An 18,061-nucleotide genomic window follows, 5' to 3' on the forward strand; every position below is an offset into this window, starting at 1 on the left:
TAACATATCCTGAAATGAACTTTTTATTTCTCCTTGCCCAAAGCCCCTTCTTTCCCAGTCTCTCTTCTCTTCATCTTCCATTTTAATTATTTATTTATTCACTTGGTTTTTGGCTCCTTTTTCTGAGGCAAGATATTTCCTTTTTTAAAATAGAATTTTTCTATATTGCCCAGGCTGAAGTGCAGGGGCTAGTCACAGGTGCAATCATCATGCGCTACAGCCCTGAAATCCTGGCCTCCAGCAATCCTCCCACCTCAGCCCCCAGAATAGCTGGGACTACAGGTGTGTACCACCACACCTGGCTCTCCTATTTTCCTGACAACAATACCATCCATCTGGCTGTTCCTGCCAAACACAAGGATAATCCTGGATTGTTCTCTTTCCTTTTATCTTCATTGTTTAATTCATCGACAAGTCCTCCAAAATACATTCTGAATCTCAACATTTTTCACCATCTAAACTGCCACCAGCATGGTTCAAACCACGAATATGTCTCATTTGGACTATACTGCAATAGCCTTCTAAATGATATTCCTGCACCAATCTTGCCTCCTACAGTTTATTCTCTGCATAACACTAAATGGAATTTATGATGTTTATTATTTATTTGTGCTTCCTAGATGATGAAACTTGGAAGGAAGTGAGTGAATTGTTTCAGAACACACAGGAGCAATGAAGGAAGAAAGACCTGAAGTCAATTCTTCATAGTTCTGAAATTAGTTAACTTTTGAAGGGTTTCAATCCCATTTGTTACCTGATCATTTAAATTAGGGTTTAATATAAAATTCTACTAATAATGGGTATTAATTATAGAGCACTTACTGTGTGCTGGGCATGATTCCAAGGACTTTACATAATTTAGACTCTTTAATCTTACAATAACCCAATGAGCTATATAGTATTGTTATTGCTTTTTAAATATGAGGAAACTGAGGTACATAGCTGTTAACTGTCTTGTCCAAGGTTACAGAGCCAGTGGGCGGCAGAGGCAGGATTCAAGCCCAGGGATTGGTCTCTGGACTTTGCTGTGTTATGCTGATCCTCCATCAAAGCCACGAGTTTGTTCCAACATGATCTATTAGTTCTTTTGGGGGCATTTCTTTTTCTTTTTGTACATTGGTTATTTTATCTGTTGAATGAATTTATTATGAGAACAAAAATTATCCATTACAGTACCAATAGTGTCTTAGGTACAGCTAAGAGGAGAATTGTCATAGCTTTAGATTTCTTCTACATACACGGTAGTTTGAGCCCACAGTTTTGAGTTTTAAGTGATATTTACTCAAGGGGCAGGCTAAAAATCAACTCCCAAATTGCCTCAAATATTTTCTATTAGGTAACATTTCCCCAAAAGATGCTGCCCTGAAAGCTTCTATGTGAAACAGCAAATCCTCTCAGGTCCCAAAGGGGCTACTTACAGTTTAAAAAATAGTCGGCCTCTCTCTCTTGCACCTGTGCTGTGCTTAGTAGATTTATTCAGTCAGAGAAAACTTCAAAAAGGATTGGCGATTTGAACTGAGCCTTCACGAACTGAAAGAATTTTGAATATCGAAAAGAGAAGGTTGCACTTATGCCAGCTCGGCACCATGGAATGCATAGAAACAACAAGCCTGTTTGCCGCTTAATTGAACAATTGTGATGCTAATCTGTTTATCCCTTTGTGTCTCAAAGGTAACACTATACACTTAGCCTGGGTAATGTGTAACGTAACATCACCCAGAAACAGAATGTTGCTTCCTTTCACTGGTGGCTGCCTTTCTGTCCCCTCCATCTTTGTGAATAATTCTTTGTTGATACGGGACTCATTATCATTATTGATTAAACTTTGCCATCTCAGTTTGATGTCGGCGAATACCTTGCTCATTTTAATCTGTCTCAGGGCCAAGTTTTATGCTTACCATGTTTTAATTTGTCCCAGGATTGTGTTTGCCTGATGCTAATATAAAGATTGAGGACTCTCCTGGGGCATTTTGTGACTGACACAAAAAAGCGTTTGGAAATCTATAAATACTCCTTTAGGATAAGCCTTGAGACTCACGAACAGAACTCGGTGGCAGCCTCCCTGTGGCTGTTGCCTTGAAACCAGACTCATAAACTAAAGCCGGGAATAAATGTCTATAGTAAAACTGTTTATCAGTTTACATGTTTTAACTCAGGGGTGATTTTTTTTCCCCCTTACTTCAATCCTGAATATTTTTCTCTTCCTGAGACACTCTATTGTTCAATTGACCTCTACAGATATTGACTTTATTAGATTTTTGGTCAGCACAGAGTCGTATTATATGCTATGAATATGGTACTAGTTTTATAATATTTTATTTTGAAATAATCTCACACTTACAGAGAATTTACATCAATAGAACAACAAGCTCCCCCACGGGAGGAGATTCATCCCGATTTCCCAATTGTTATCCTTTTAATTTGCTTTACCTGATGCTAATTGAAATGACCATTTCTCATTCTCCGAATTCTTGCTAGTTCACTACCTGTTTAGAGCATATAAATCAAAACAGGGAAGACCTGTTTGGATGCTTATGAGGGGAGGATGGAGGAAAAGATGGGATTATGATTAAAGGGAGAGGAGGAAGAGAGGGGATTACTATTAGAGGAAACACAGGAAGCTTTGTAGCAGCACTGTCGCAGGCACACTATATTTCTCCAACAGGGACTCCAGAAACAGTGCTCCAGTGACATTAGTTTTTTCTGAGGTGCTCTGAAGGCCTTACTTTCCAAATAAGCTCATATATCCATTTTCTCTTATAGACTGGTGATAAATAACAGTATTTCTATTTAGGTGGCTAATAGTGATGCAGAAAATAAAGTCAAGTGCAAAAGTTGCCCCTTTGGGACATTACATGGAAATGTGTAGTGCTTCTCCTGATATTGCCAATTGAAGACCCCTCTGAGCAGGTTTCCGAGGTCTCCCCATCAACCCTTGGGTCACGCAGACAGGGAGATTGCCAGTGAAGTGGCAAATTGCCCAACCTCTCAGCAGTGTGTACAGATCCTGAAGAGTGCAGCCCGGAGTGTCCTGACTGACCTGGGAGGGAAATGAGTAATGTGATTTGAATTGGCAAAAAAACATGATTTTCACTTTTAAAGCGATCTTTTATTCTTGAGCTGAAGCCAGTTGAAATGCCCCCAGCCTGGGCCTTTTTATTCAGACAAGAACAATGAGATCAATTTCAGCAGAAAATGAGGGAGCAGGAGAGAGATGGCAGCTGAGGTAATCGGCTGTAAAGGACAAAGTTTGAAATTAAATATTATGGCTTAAATAGTCCTTTAATTCAAGCCTCCCTTCTTTCCCTTCTCCAATCTTGCATCAGAGAAATAAAACAAAAAGCTCCTTACTGCAAAATGGAAGACAATCTTTTTCTAATAGAAGAAAATTCTCTCTGCAACATAAATTTGAACTATAGCGATTTGATTTCTATGGAGATAAAGAGGCAGAGGAGTTAGTGCTGTTTGGAAGGGAATGTAAATGTGGTGTTAAGGAGCAAGGAAGAAAACTTCACGTATGCTGGCTTATTAGAATTTGCTGTATTTTATCCTGTTTTTGTTGAGCAGCAGAAGGGATGCAGGAAGCTTTTTATTTAATTTTTAGGGCAATTAGGGAGAGGAAATCCAGGCTGAGTGACTTTAGACTGCTCATTACCTTCTGGCGGGCAGAAGGAGAGTGCATATTTTAAATGTTAAGATCAGATTATTTATAAGTTTCTCTTTGAGATTCAAGGGCATGGAAGGAACGATAAGTCGATTAACAGAGAAAACAGCCTTATATACACAGCTGGTTTAATCTTTGTAATAGGTCACAGACTGAAGAGCAGCATTTCAGTCTCTTCCTGGAAATGACAGATTCTAGGGAACTACTAAGATTTTAAAAAAGAAAACTTTTAGACAATCCCCCACCCCGACTCCAAATCTCTTAAGGAATCTTGTGGTGGGGGATAGGCATTCCTAGGTCTTGTTTCGCTGTGCTGTCATGACAATTTTCATTCCACACCTTCTGTGGAATGAATTACTGACTCCTCTAGAAGTAAGTGAAAGCCTCTGAATTTGGTCATTTCACTGTTATATGTAACAAGGTGTCTTGGGTTGTTTTGTAAAATGAATGCATCTAGCTATAAGAGAATTCATGGTCATTTCATTTTCTGGCAATAACGGCTGACTACCTCCTTGATCAGATGACACAGGCTAACCTGAATGTTCTAAAAAAATTTTGCTGACACTCTTTCCCTGAGAGCTTGTATGGTTTTCTTTGTGGGGTTGTCTGAAGGTCTCTATTCTTCAAAGTTCTTTTCGGGAAAAGTAATAAAACTACCTAGTTGAAGCAGTGAAGGCACTTTGGAGTATCCCCTGGGTGCTGAAAAGAGCAGGTCAACGTCACCCTGAGGAGGACAGGAGCCAGGACCCTCAGGAGCTTGGCAGTGGGAGTGGGCTGCCCTTCTCTCTGAGTGCTGTCCTTAATGTGACTTTGTCTCTGATTTCAGGTCCCGGTGTTTAATTCCTGATACCAATTCCTGGGAGAGAAAATTGGGTTCCTCCAGCTTCGATTAGGTGTTCTCTTGAGGACCTATGAGCAGTTGGCGGGGTCGGGGGAGAATCACATGGCTGCCCAGTGCTCCCAGGTGTACAGAAATTCCTAGCAGGGTGGAAGCCTGGTGACAGGGGAACCCCTTAAGAGTTGTCTGTTGTACTCAGCTAATCTTTGTGTGCAGGAAAAACAATTTGCTATTTGAAATCACAGCAGCCTGTAGCCACTTCTGAATCCTAAGGAAGTCTCAGAATTCCTCTTTGGAATAGATGAGTTTTTTGACTGTGAATGAAAGACAAACACCAGGGAAAGACTTGGAAAGTGTAGGAATGAGAAAAAAAAATCTAAACTGACTTTATCAATAAAACAAGAATTTGGAGGTTGCCGGGGACTGGACTGGGTAAAGAAGCTCAGCTGTAGCGAGAAAGCCAAGAATGTACATGGCGAGTGCAGTGAGCTGAGGAAGTGGGCATAGTGAGGGGTATTTACAGTACGAGCATCTTTAAAAACATTCAAACTCTTTTTTTTTTCAATGTTAAAACGGGAACCACTCAGACTGTGTCCTCTCCCTCTTACTTTGCCGGAGGAAGAGAAAAACAATCCTCAATGCCAAATGGCACCTGCAGCGAAGCAACACTAAGAGCTGGCCTGGCTCTCAGGGGAGAACCCTGTGCCTCCTCCTCGCTCCTCCTCCTGGTTTCCGGTGCTCTTCAGCAGTCCCCAACCTTTTTGGCACCAGGGACTATTTTTGTGGAAGACAATTTTTCTACAGGTTGGGTTGGGGGGCTGGTTTCAGGATGAAACTGTTCCACCTCAGATCATGAGGCATTCGATTCTCATAAGGAACGTGCAACCTAGATCCCTGGCATGCACCATTCACAATACACTTCACGCCCTTCTGAGAATCTAATGGTACAGCTGATCTGACAGGAGGCAGAGCTCAGGCGGTAATGCTGGCTCACCTGCTGTTCACCTCGTGCTGTGTGGCCCGATTCCTAACAAGCCACGGACCTGTACTGGTCAGCTGCCCAGGGACTGGGGACTGCTGCTCTACACTTTCAGAGAAACTTCTCTAGGGATGGACTATAGAAGTGATCCCTGAAAGTAGAGTCTTGGTATAGGCATCTTATATCCAGTTTTTAATTTAGCCTCCTGGACACTGCAACATAGTCCTGTCCCTTCCCACAATGTAGTAAAAGTCTGACCTATACCCAGTCTTCAGTTTGTTGGTATTTCATGTAGGGAAGGAAGTGGTGGTTGGACTCATGTGAAGTACACAACGAAAGGATCTCTCAACCCAGCTAATGGAGATCAAAATAACTTGAAGCCAGAACCAAGTAAGAGTATATAATATTTGTAAATAGAAGTGCTCTTCTCCCTCCTTCTAAAGAATTTCAAGTGAAATTGAGAGGGCAGAAAATTTTCTCTGGGAGTAGGGAAGGGAATGGTGTAGGAGTTTAGACTACACTTGTTTGAATTTTAAAAGAGAGGCAACTCCAGCTGAGTTTTGGGATAGAAGAATAAGAACCATATATATGTTGAAACAGTATTAAATGTGGTAACATGGAGAAATTTTTAGATTGTCCTTTAAAGGTTTCACCTTGAACCTAAAGTCATTGTAGCTGCAGTGGCATGCACCCTGTATGTATCATCAGAATGGGGCCGGGAGCTGGTAAAGCTTAAAAATGTGCACTTGTACCAGGAAAATGGTTCATTGTGAAAAATCTCAGCTCTTGGATTTCTAGAATTGCTCTGTTTCTACACTGCCACTGTCTTGGCAGCAGGAGGGACAGAGGTGGGATTCTCACTGGTCCTTGGGCTGCCATCCTTATATGTCTGATATAAACTCAGAGAAGAAGCAAAATAGCCCTGTAGAAAATTGAAGTTAGTAAGTGGTCTGAAAAAAATGTGTCTCGTCAGCTTTCAATTTTTCATTCTAAGGAAGACATTGATGAAATTCTAGGTGCCATTTCTGAAGTGCCAAGAGGACCAGGGTAGTTCCTCCAGGGTAATGAGCTCTTTTTATTGATGTCTTCATTTATTCACTCATTCTTTTATCGGGGTATATTTAATACATAAAATGCTTTAGAAAGATGCTGGGTACTGAGTGCATAAAAAGGCAGACATTTAAATAAGGTATTAAAATATTGAGGTAAATGCCAGTAGAAGGCTGTATAAAGTGCTCAAGGGAATGCCAAGAACAGTCAAATAAAATAGTTATGCCTAAAATTGGGGACAGAATGAGATGGGAGAGAAGAAGATAATTTTGCCTATACTACACCCCACCTTTCTTTCTTACAACTCAGAAAATGTGTCTGTTTCTTGCTGCTTCCAGGCCCTTCCATCATTCCCTTTAAGACACTTTTTGTTACAAGAATTTCATTGTAGATGGTAGTTTATTGTTTTGTAATTCTTTTTTAGTATTAGGCTTTAGTGAACTGGCCTCAGGGCCCTGATCACTAGCCATAGCATTGCCTCTGTAGAGTTTTGAGTTTCAAATGAAACTTTGAAATAGAATTTGCTTTAAGTTGGAATTGTCTGTATGAAAACATTTTAAGTATGAATTCCTAGCCGCTAGGATAAATTTCAAGAACAGGCCTATAGAAACAAGTGTAACTGTAGTTATAAAAATAATACTGTTTCTACCACTAACTCAAAAAGCTCACAATACCAAATTCAGGCTATCTTACTACTGCTTTAATTCTCTGTATGTACCTTACGCTAGAGAAATTCAACATTGTTGAGTGATTCATTAAACACTGATTTCAAAGTCTACTCCTTTTCCCTCTGAACTGGCGAACTTTTGTTTGGGCGTAATCACGAGTCTGTTGTTTTTTTGATGCACATCTCAAATGCAAACAGTAAATTCTACATTGTGGTTTTAGGCTAGTTTTGTAGCAAGAAAGTAGTCTGACTCAAGCTACTTGTGGTGGATACTGGGATGTGCCACACACATCCCCCGTGTTGGACTGAGAGTCATGTTCCCCTAGCTGCTGGGAGTGTTGGCTGCCCATGATTCAAGCTGAGTCCCTCCACAGGAACTGCCCTCAGCAGAAGGGAGCTGCATCATTCAAGATTGCATCTCCTCCCTTTATCTCTTAGCTGTTTGATATGGAGGTAAAAATATCTGGCTACTTTGCCTCTATCCAGGACAACTCTGAGGGGATATCTGTAGCAGAGAACCATGTATTATTCCATAATAACTCCTGGCATTCTACTGGGCCTTGGTAGAGATGGAGTTTCTGAACCTGTGTCAGGGCCACCCATTATGGGCTGGGTTTGGTCACCAAGTCATTGATGGACAAGATCAACAACAATTTGTCAAAAGATGGAAGCAGTACATTTTAGATATGTCATGAGCTGGTCCAGAAGGCACAGGTAAACCTAGAGCCCTATGTCAGCATCACCACTCTTGCACTGGCATGAATTCCTCTGCTCACTCTTCTGGCCTGTGGAGGATCTTTTATGACCAACTAATTGAAGAAGAAAAAGTCCTAAATTAGTTTATGGATAAACTGGCTTAGTACATGGATGCAAGCTGAGAGTAGCCTGCTGCTTTACTACCACACCACTCAGGTAAGGCTCCCACAATAGCAATAAAAGTTAATGTCCACAGTGGTCAACACTTGTGTGACACCTCCAGTAAAGATATATCTAGATTCCTGGGTAGTGGTGAATGGCGTGTGATTTAAGCAGGTGCTGCAAAGAAGAAAATCAGGAACAAAGGAGATCTGAGCATGTGGACGCAGGCACAAAGTATAAAGATCTTTGTGTCTCTGTTAATGTCCACTAGAGAACATCCACTATGAGAGACAGTAACAACCAAGTAGAGAGAATGGCCTGCCAGTCGATATCAGCTAGCCTCTGTCATTCTTTACTCCACAGAAGGCACAATAGAATAGCCATTGTTACAGGGGTGAAGGCTATGCTTGGGCCCCAAAGCATGGGCTGCCACTCACAGAGGTGGATCTAGCTACTGTTGCTGCTCAATGTCCAATATGTCAGCCACAGAAATAAACACTGGGCCCCTAGTATAGCTCTCTCTCTCTGTCTCTCTCTCTCTCTCTTTTTTTTTTTTTTTTTTTTTTTTTGTTGAGATGGAGTTTTACTCCTGTTCCCCAGGCTGCAGTGCAATGGCGTGATCTCAGTTCACTGCAACCTCTGCCTCCAGGGTTCAAGCGATTCTCCTGCCTCAGCCTCCCGAGTATCTGGGATTACAGGCACATGCCACCACACCCAGCTAATTTTTGTGTTTTTAGTAGAGACGGGGTTTCACCATGTTGGCCAGGCTGCTCTCAAACTGCTGACCTCAAGTGATCTGCCCGCCTCGGCCTCCCAAAGTGCTGGGATTACAGGTGTGAGCCATTGTGCCCAGCCACCTCTCTTTAGGAGAACAATAAACCACTCGTTGGCAGCTCGATTACATCGAACTCTTTCCAACATGTAAGAGACAACTGATCATCTTAACTGGAACTTATGAGATGACACATGTTCTTTTTTAAATTTTTTTTTGAGATGACACATATTCTAAATATGGATTTGCTTTTTTCCTTTTCTTGTTTGCAGGGCCTCACTGCCTGAGAGCTTATACAATGTTTGATCTACCAACATGGTGCTCTGTATCATATCACTTGAGACCTAAGGACCCACTTTATGGTAAAGAAGGAAGACAGTGGGCACATGACCACAGGACACAATTGTCCTTTAACATACCATGCCACATAGAATATCCTGCCCAATAGAGTGATGGAATGGACTTTGAAGCTCATCTCAGGTGCCAGCTTGAAGATGAAACCCTTTGAGGAGAAGGCCCAGTACATATTATATACCATAAGACAGTGAGTGATTTGTGAAGTAGAAATGGCCCTGTTTGTAATAACTTTCAGTGATCCTCTTGAATAGTTTGTACTTCCTGTTCCTGCAATTTTAGGTACTGAACATTTCCATCAGGAAATACAGAAAGAACTCCTTTAAACTTTCAGCTGTGGATACCACCTAGTCACTTTGGATTTCCTGGAGGCCTCCCTCCATTCCTTATCATGCAAGTCTCTCCATAAGGCAGCTTACGACATAGCACTGGTTTTTCTCAGAATGAGCAACAGTGAGAGCAAGAGAGAGCAGAAAAGTTGAAGCCCCAGTTCTCAATCTTTTTCTTTTTCTTTTCTTTTTTTTTTTTTGAGACAGAGTTTCACTCTTGTTGCCCAGGCTGGAGCACAGTGGTGTGATCTCAGTTCAGTGCAACCTCTGCCTCCCAGGTTCAAGCAATTCTTCTGCCTCAGCCTCCTGAGTAGCTGGCATTACAGGCATGCACCACCAAGCCCACCTAATTTTTTTTTTATTATTGTAGAGATGGGGTTTCACCATATTGGCCAGTCTGGTCTCGAACTCCTGACCTCAGGTGATCTGCTGGCCTTGGCCTCCCAAAGTGTTGGGATTGCAGGCATGAGCCACTGTGCCTGGCCGTCTTCAGTCTTTTTCTAACCTAATATTGTTCCATACCATCTGCCATATTCTGTCACAGTCAGTAAGTCCATCCCACACTCAAATCAAGAGGATTAAACAAGGGCTTGAATTCCAGAAGGCGGACATTATCGGGAGCAATCTTAGAAGCTGCCTTCCATAGTTCATCCTCTGGATCCCAGTAATTCATGTCCATCCCACATGCAAATACATCCATTCTCAACCAATATCTCCCAAAGTTTCATCTCATAGCATCAGCTCAAATTCCAGAGTCTTAAGTCAGGTCCAAGTGTGGATGGGATTCACCAGGTACCATTCCTTAAGTACAGCCCATATCCTTTCAATTTGTAGACCTGTGAAAGAGGCAAATTTCCTCTAGTTTCCACACCCCTTGTAAAATGGTGGAACAGATGTAGGCTGGCTACCTGTTACAAACATTTCTTTTGAAAAAAAGGGAAAATCGGGAACATAAGACAGTCATTGCTTGTTGGGAATTGTAAACTCCAGCAAAACAAATGTTTAAAGATTAATTAGATCTCGAGGCCTGAACTATTATTCATAACATTTGGTCCTGCTCTCTGGGCTCTTGGTTTCACCTCTTTGTCTCCTTTCTTTTTCATAAAAGATACCATGTGTTTACATTTGAGTAGTTTTCTCTTCCTATCTGGGATTTTGACTGTGTTCCAAATACTGTCTGTTTTGTAGATTCTTCCTTTATCTCCTTATTCCTTGTGTCACCAGTTTCCTATTCAAAGTCTAAGCTAATGGGTCTGTTTGATAAAGCCCAGGCTTCATTGACCTACCTACCAGGGAAGCTGGGGAAGTACTTAAATCTTTACTTTCTTGAGTAGGATTCTGAGTTTTCTAAGACCTAAAAGATTGAGAATTTCCCCACACAGGGGTGGGATTTAGATATTGGTCAGTCAAAAGAATGAGAAATGTTCCTTATAGTCATCTTTTGAGGTTAAAAATGCATTTTCTTATATGTATGTATCTTTGATGTGTACTATCTTTATACTCATACCTTGTAATTATTTTTATTTAATTTATTTTTCAGCTTATTTTAAGTTCGGGGGTACACGTGCAGGATGTGTGGGTTTGTTACCCAAATACTGTCTGTTAGGTAAACGTGTGTCATGGTGATTTGCTGCACGGATCAACCTATCACCTAGGTATTAAGCCCAGCATCCATTAGCTATTCTTCTTGATGCTCTTCCTCCCTCTGCCATTCCTGACAGGCCCCAGTGTGTGTTGTTACCCCAATGTGTCCATGTGTTCTTATCATTCAGCTCCCAGTTATAAGTGAGAACATGTGGTGTTTTGTTTTCTGTTCCTGCATTAGTTTGCTGGGATTAATGGCTTCTAGCTTCATCCATGTCCCTGAAAAGGACATGATCTCATTCCTTTTTATGACTGCATAGTATTCCATGGTGTATATGTACCACATTTTCTTTATCCAGTCTGTCACTGATGGGCATTTGGATTGGTTCCATGTCTTTGCTATTGTGAATAGTGCTGCAGTGAACATACACATGCATGTATTTTTATAACACAATGATTTATATTCCTTTGGGTATATAGCTGGTAATGAGATTGCTGGGTCAAATGGTATTTCTGCTTCTAGATCTTTGAGGAATCGCACACTGTCTTCCACAATGGTTGAACTAATTTACGCTCTCACCAACCATGTAAAAGCATTCCTTTTTTTGTACAACCTTGCCAGCATCTGTGGTTTCTTGACTTTTTAAGAATAGCCATTCTGACTGGTGTGAGACGGTGTATTAGTCAGGGTTCTCTAGAGGGACAGGACTAATAGGATAGATGTATATATGAAAGGGGATTTATTAAGGAGTACTGACTAATGCTATCACAAGGTGAAGTCCCACAATAGGCTGTCTGCAAGCTGAAGAGCAAGAAAGCCAGTCTGAGCCCCAAAACCTCAAAAGTAGGGAAGCCAGCAGTATAGCCTTCAGTCTCTGGTGTAAGTCCAAGAGTCCAAAATCTGAAGAAACGGAGTCCAATGTTTGAGGGCAGGAAGCATTCATCATGGGAGAAAGATGAAGGCTGGAGGACTCAGCCAGCCTGGTCCTTCCACGTTCCTCTACCTGTTTTATCCTAGCCACTCCAGCAGCTGATTAGATGGTATCCACCCAGACTGAGGGTGGGTCTGCCTCTCCCAGTCTACTGACTCAATTGTTAATCTCCTTTGGCAACACCCTTACAGACACACCCAGGAACAATATTTTCCATCCTTCAATCAATTAAGTTGACACTCAATATTAACTATCAGAGATGGTTTCTCATTGTGGTTTTGAGTTGCATTTCTCTAATGATCAGTGATGTTTAGCTTTTTTTCATGTTTGTTGGCTGCATGAATGTCTTCTTTTGAGAAGTGTCTGTTCATTTTCTTTGCCCACTTTTTTTTTTTTTTTTTGAGATGAAGTCTCACACTGTCGCCCAGGCTGGAGTGCAGTGGCATGATCTCGGCTCACTGTAAGCTCCGCCTCCCAGGTTCATGCTGTTCTCTTACCTCAGCCTCCCGAGAAGCTGGGACTATAGGCGCCCACCACCACATCCGGCTAAGTTTTTGTATTTTTAGTAGAGATGGGGTTTCACCGTGTTAGCCAGGATGGTCTCGATCTCCTGACCTTGTGATCCACCCGCCTTGGCCTCCTAAAGTGCTGGGATTACAGGCTTGAGCCACTGCGCCTGGCCTGCCCACTTTTTAATGTTTTTTTTTTTTTTTTCCTTTTAAATTTGTTTAAGTTTCTTGTAGACTCTGGATATTAGACCTTTGTCAGATGGGAAGATTGCAAAATTTTTCTCCCATTCTGTAGGTTGTCTGTTCACTTTGATGATAGTTTCTTTTGCTGTGTAGAAGTTCTTTAGTTTAATTAGATCCCATTTGTCAATTTTTGCTTTTGTTGCAGTTGCTTTTGATGTTTTTGTCGTTTATTTTATTTTAAATTCAAAGAGATGAAACTCAGAACAAAGTGCCACAGTCAAGCAAAAAAAAAAAAAAAAAAAGGATTAACTGGAAATGTATGTACTTATGAATTAAATTAAAAAACTAATATTTGTGTTTAGTGTCTTTCTCCAAGAAGCTCTAACTAGTCAGAGTGCAGGGGAAGATTTTGGGATTTTGTCAGTATGTACTCACTTGGGGATCAATTTTGAGATACCATTTACAGCTCAATACCCAACATTGCTATTTCTTGCATGACATATGATTGACCTTTGGGAAGAGAAGTCTGATCTTACATTTTAGATTAAGGGCAGTTGTATGTATTGCCTAATGCTCGTCAAGCATTAAATTAGAGGTAGACTCAATTTCTCAATGTTCTATTAGTGGGAGATTGAAAATTCAACTTTCTGAGGAGTTTCTACTAAAAAAAAACTTTTGGATGTTTAGGAGTCAGATAAAACCAGTGCGACCTTTTTCATTCATTGCTATATTTCCAAACTTTGATGGGGAAATACAGATTCCAGATTGTTTAATTATAAAAGACCTTTGATTTATACATTTTATACTTTTTATTATACTTTTTGGAATATACTTCCTTGATTTTCCTGGTATTTTTGACAAATGAAACATGCTTTCTTGAATATAAGGACAGAAAATATTTTCTCTGCAACATCACAGGAGGCTTTTTTTTTCCATTTTAAAAATTGTGATAAAATACACATAACATAAAAATTACCATCGTAAGCATTTTTAAGTGTAAAGTTCAGGGGTATTAAGTACATTTACATTGTTGTACAGCTATCACAACATCCATCTTCAGAACTCTTTTCATCTTGCAAAATTGAAACTTTCTACCCATGAAACAATAACCTGCAATTTCCTCTTCCTCCAGCCTCTGGCAACAAACATTCTACTTTTCATCTTTATGATTTTGGACTATTTAAGTACCTCCTATCTGTGAAATCATATATTGTGCTTTTCAACTGGCTTATTTCACTTGGCATAATGTCCTCAAGGGTTCATCCATGTTGTCACATATGTCAGAATTTCCTTCCTTTTTAAGGCTGACTAATATTCCATTGTATGTAGATACTACATTTTGCGTATCCATTCATCTGTTGATGGCCATTTGGATTGCTTTCACATTTCAGCTATTGTGAATAATGCTGCTATGAACATGGGTATACAAATAGCTCTTTGAGAAACAGGCAGCTTTTGCTTCATTACTTTAGGTTGATTGCTTGGAAATAGCTGCTACTGGAACAACACTTGTAATTTACAAAATAACCAAGAAAGCTGATTATATTAGCTAGGGTTTCAGTAGAAAGCAAAATTCAACTCAAGTGATGCAAGATATTTTGATCAAGAGAATAATACACAGGTATGTGTTTTAGGGTGTACTGGGGGTTAAGGAAATTAATAAGGAGTGTTGAGATACCCAGACATTAGCAACAGCAGGAAGCAGTTAGCATCTTTAGTTGTCAGTGGGCAAGGGGAGGAAATAGTGTTAACAGAACCTACTGAGAGCTGCAGCTACAGAGAAGGAACCATGGACAGTAGCTGAACCCATGAAAAGATGCAGCTACTGCCATAAAAGTGGCCCAGAGTGGGCAGGCATGGGAACAAAATACCGCAACCTCTTTTTCCTCCTGCCCTCCAATCTTTTGCTAATAAATCCCATTGGTTGAGTCTAATCAGAAGCCAGCTAGCCAGAGCTAGCTGTCCAGGGTGACATATTGGTCAGTCCTATATTGATCAGTCTCATGGGAAGGAGGAAGGTGGAAAAGGACAAAAGAATGGATGAGGAAGGGTTCTTCCATAGATAAACATTTTCAACTTTCAGAATTTGTGCTTAGGGATAGCTGGCTTGTTCTTCTCTTACAACTGAAAAAGTTTTATTCAATCTTTTTTTCTCTCTGCTGAGACACAAGGAAATGAGGCACACATTATTTATGAGCTTACTTTGTTTTTCATGGCAATGTGCCTTTAGAGACTGAATCACTGAATCAGAAAGTAGAATGACCAGAAATGGATCATTTCATACTGTGTACTAAAAGACACAAGCATTTAAAATTTGCTTATATCAAGCCCACTCCCAAGAAAGAATAGGAGGCTGTAGTCACAGCTCCTGTGCCTGGCCAGTGTTCATGCATGGGTGAGGAGAAATGCTGACTGAAGAAACTGAGCTGAAACCAAAGAGAATCTGTCAAAGTGATGAAAAATGAACTGTATAGGCTTCAGACACACTGCATGACCAGATGGGTAAATTAGGAATTGTTTGAAGAAGCTTCTGTAAGGGAGATGTGACTGAAGACAATTATTTTATGATGTGCAAAATGCAAAAGGTGGTGTATATATGTGTGTGTCTGGGGGAAGAGTGAAAAGCAAATGGGGATTAGTAATACTGAAGGCAACACAAAAACAGAGTGTAAGAATACTAACAGTTTCCCATTATTTAGGGGGATTGTGACACTCTTTAAAAACAAATGGTGAGAGAATTTCTATATTCATAGAACTTTTACCACTTTTTTTTTTTTTTTTTTTTTTTTTTTTTTACTGTTTCTTTCATTGCGTAGAACTTCCATCAATATCTCATCAATTCCCCAATTCTCCAGAAAGGCAATGGCAGAGTATAGGCAATTACAGGGCTGCATTTGCACATAACAGAGTCAGAGATAGACTCAGATTCTGATCCAAATTTATATTTCAACAAAACTTCCTGCTTCTGAGTTCATTGCTGAATAAGTAGATCTTGCTGCCTTTCATTGCATTATACTACATCTGCCCTTTTGATGTAAACACACATGTCTATCATATCTTTCCAATGCAATTTGCAATGAGTGACCCCATTTCAAAGCAATATTTGTTTAGCAAAGACAGTTTGCCTTGGCAAAGTTTTCTAAATAATTCATAGATGATTTCTACTGAGAAAGAAATATTGGTCTCAGTGCATAAAAAGTAAGTAGCCAATGTCTATCTTAAACTAGACAAAAAGAGTATTCATTAAGGGTTGCAGTCTCTAATCAAAATTTGGAAATAAATTAGTGCAATTCTCAAAATGCCATTAGCTGTCACATAAGGTGACAAATAATTTAAAAAGGCTTTCCTAATGGGAATTCTTTTACAACTTGGAATTCTAAGCCTACTGGTGATGGGGTATTGAGAATTTGGGACCATCTATACTTATACGTTCAATGAACATTATAGCAATATGTAAACCTGTCTTTCAGCTAATATGCTATCAAATTACCCCTGGGTATTTACGAATTTAAAATAAAAATAAAAAGTGAAGTCCGGATGTGGTGGCTCACACCGGTAATCCCAGCAATTTTGGGGGCCGAGGCAGGTGGATCACCTGAGGTCATGAGTTTGAGACCAGCCTGACCAACATGGTGAAACCCTGTCTCTACTAAAAATACAAAAATTAGCCAGGCCTGGTTGTGTGCACCTGTAATCCCAGCTACTCAGGAGGCTGAGGCAGGAGAATCACTTGAACCCAGAAGGCAGAGGTTGCAGTGAGCCAAGATCACAACACAGCACTCCAGCCTGGGCAACAGAGCGAATATCTGTCTCAAAAAAAAAAAAAAAAAAAAAAGTAAATGAGAAAGATGCAAGAAATGCTGGAAATCAGGAGTTGCTAGTTGACCTCGGCCACCAGCAAACCGTGTGGCTCTTCAGAACTGTTCTGATTTCAAAAATTTTGTCATGTAATTCTGTGACAAAAATTAAACGGAATTTTAGCTCCCAACATTTGTCTTAATGAAATTGGTTATTTGATGTCCCTAAGTAAACTAATAACTAACTTAGAACTCTTTATTTACCAGGACTTTGAAAAAACTGATTGTAGAAAAAAGTCAATCCCCAAACAAATCAAATTTTATGTGAATATTATGCATTTTATGGATATCCCCTAATGTGAATACATTTAGTCCTCTCATCCACTTGAAGTTCTCAAAAACTTCATGCTGTCTTTGCTTTTGGGCCTTCAGTTATGCTTTTTGCTCTCCCTATTTCCTATCTTTACCTGGATAAATCATACTCATCCTGAATCCCTTCCAAAACTGGATTGACCATGAATGAACCCTCATAATATGTAGGTAGCATATCTTTGTCAAGATAGGCTAGTTTTCTATTAGTAATAAATAATCACAAATTCTCAGTAGATTTAACGTAACAAATCTTTAATTTCAGCCTGTTCTACATATCCAGTGTTGGTTTGCTGGAGGTTTCTGCTCATTGTAGTTACTCAGGAACCCTGGCAATGGCAGCTTTACTTGAGATACACTTCCATGATCACCTCGGTGGTGAATTGTGTCCTGACTCCTAAAGTATTCATTGTAAATTACACATCACTGCTATTCATGTATCATTGGCCAGAGAAAGTCATGTGGCCAATCTCCTTAACTTTAATATTTGTTGAGCAGCACTGGTGACTCCAAAATAGCACAGTGGTAAAGAGCAGCACTTTGGCATTCAATAAATTGAGCTCAAATTCTGTCTCTCACCCTTGCTGGATGTAACTTCCGGGAAGTTATTTAATCTTTCTTTTGTCTATTTCTCAGCTGTAAAATGGTTCTTATAATAGTATATACTTATTAGGTTTTGAAAGTTAAACCTGTTAATACAGGCAAAACACTGTATTAACAAAATATTATACAGTGCTTGACATTACATTGAATCAATATTAGCTATCATTTTACCTCATATTTAGTTTTTACTGCCTTAAAATTTTTGTTTCTAGGACAGTCCCCTCTACAGGAGTGTAAGCTCTGTGTTAGTGGAATTTTCCTTGTTGAGTGTTGCGCCCTTAGTGTTCATAGAGGAGGAACGCAACGGGTATTTTATTCCCTTTGAGTTTCAGAAGTCTGTACAGCTATTTCAGGTCATTACGGTATTACTTATGGAACTTCTGCCTCATTGAAGCAAATTGCACATGGTCACATGAAAAAATTAATTTCACCTTCTCACACACTCAACCAACTGCAGCGTGCCTTATCCACCGAGATAATTTGGTTTAGTTAGTAAACAAAATTTGATTTAGTTGTTTATTAAAATAAGTAAATGACTGCTTTCTACTTGTTTATATTTTATTTTTAGAACTT

General features: G+C 39.9%; 2 pseudogenes; both read right to left on the minus strand.

The window, feature by feature from the left end:
* Positions 1-5,083: 5,083 nt before the first annotated feature.
* On the minus strand, positions 5,084-5,219 carry LOC124900924 (uncharacterized; annotated as a pseudogene).
* A 342-nt stretch (positions 5,220-5,561) lies between these two features.
* Positions 5,562-5,648, minus strand: LOC124900926 (uncharacterized; annotated as a pseudogene).
* Positions 5,649-18,061: the final 12,413 nt, after the last annotated feature.

Source organism: Homo sapiens, chromosome 4 (genome assembly GCF_000001405.40).
Source record: "Homo sapiens chromosome 4, GRCh38.p14 Primary Assembly".
NCBI lineage: Eukaryota > Metazoa > Chordata > Mammalia > Primates > Hominidae > Homo > Homo sapiens.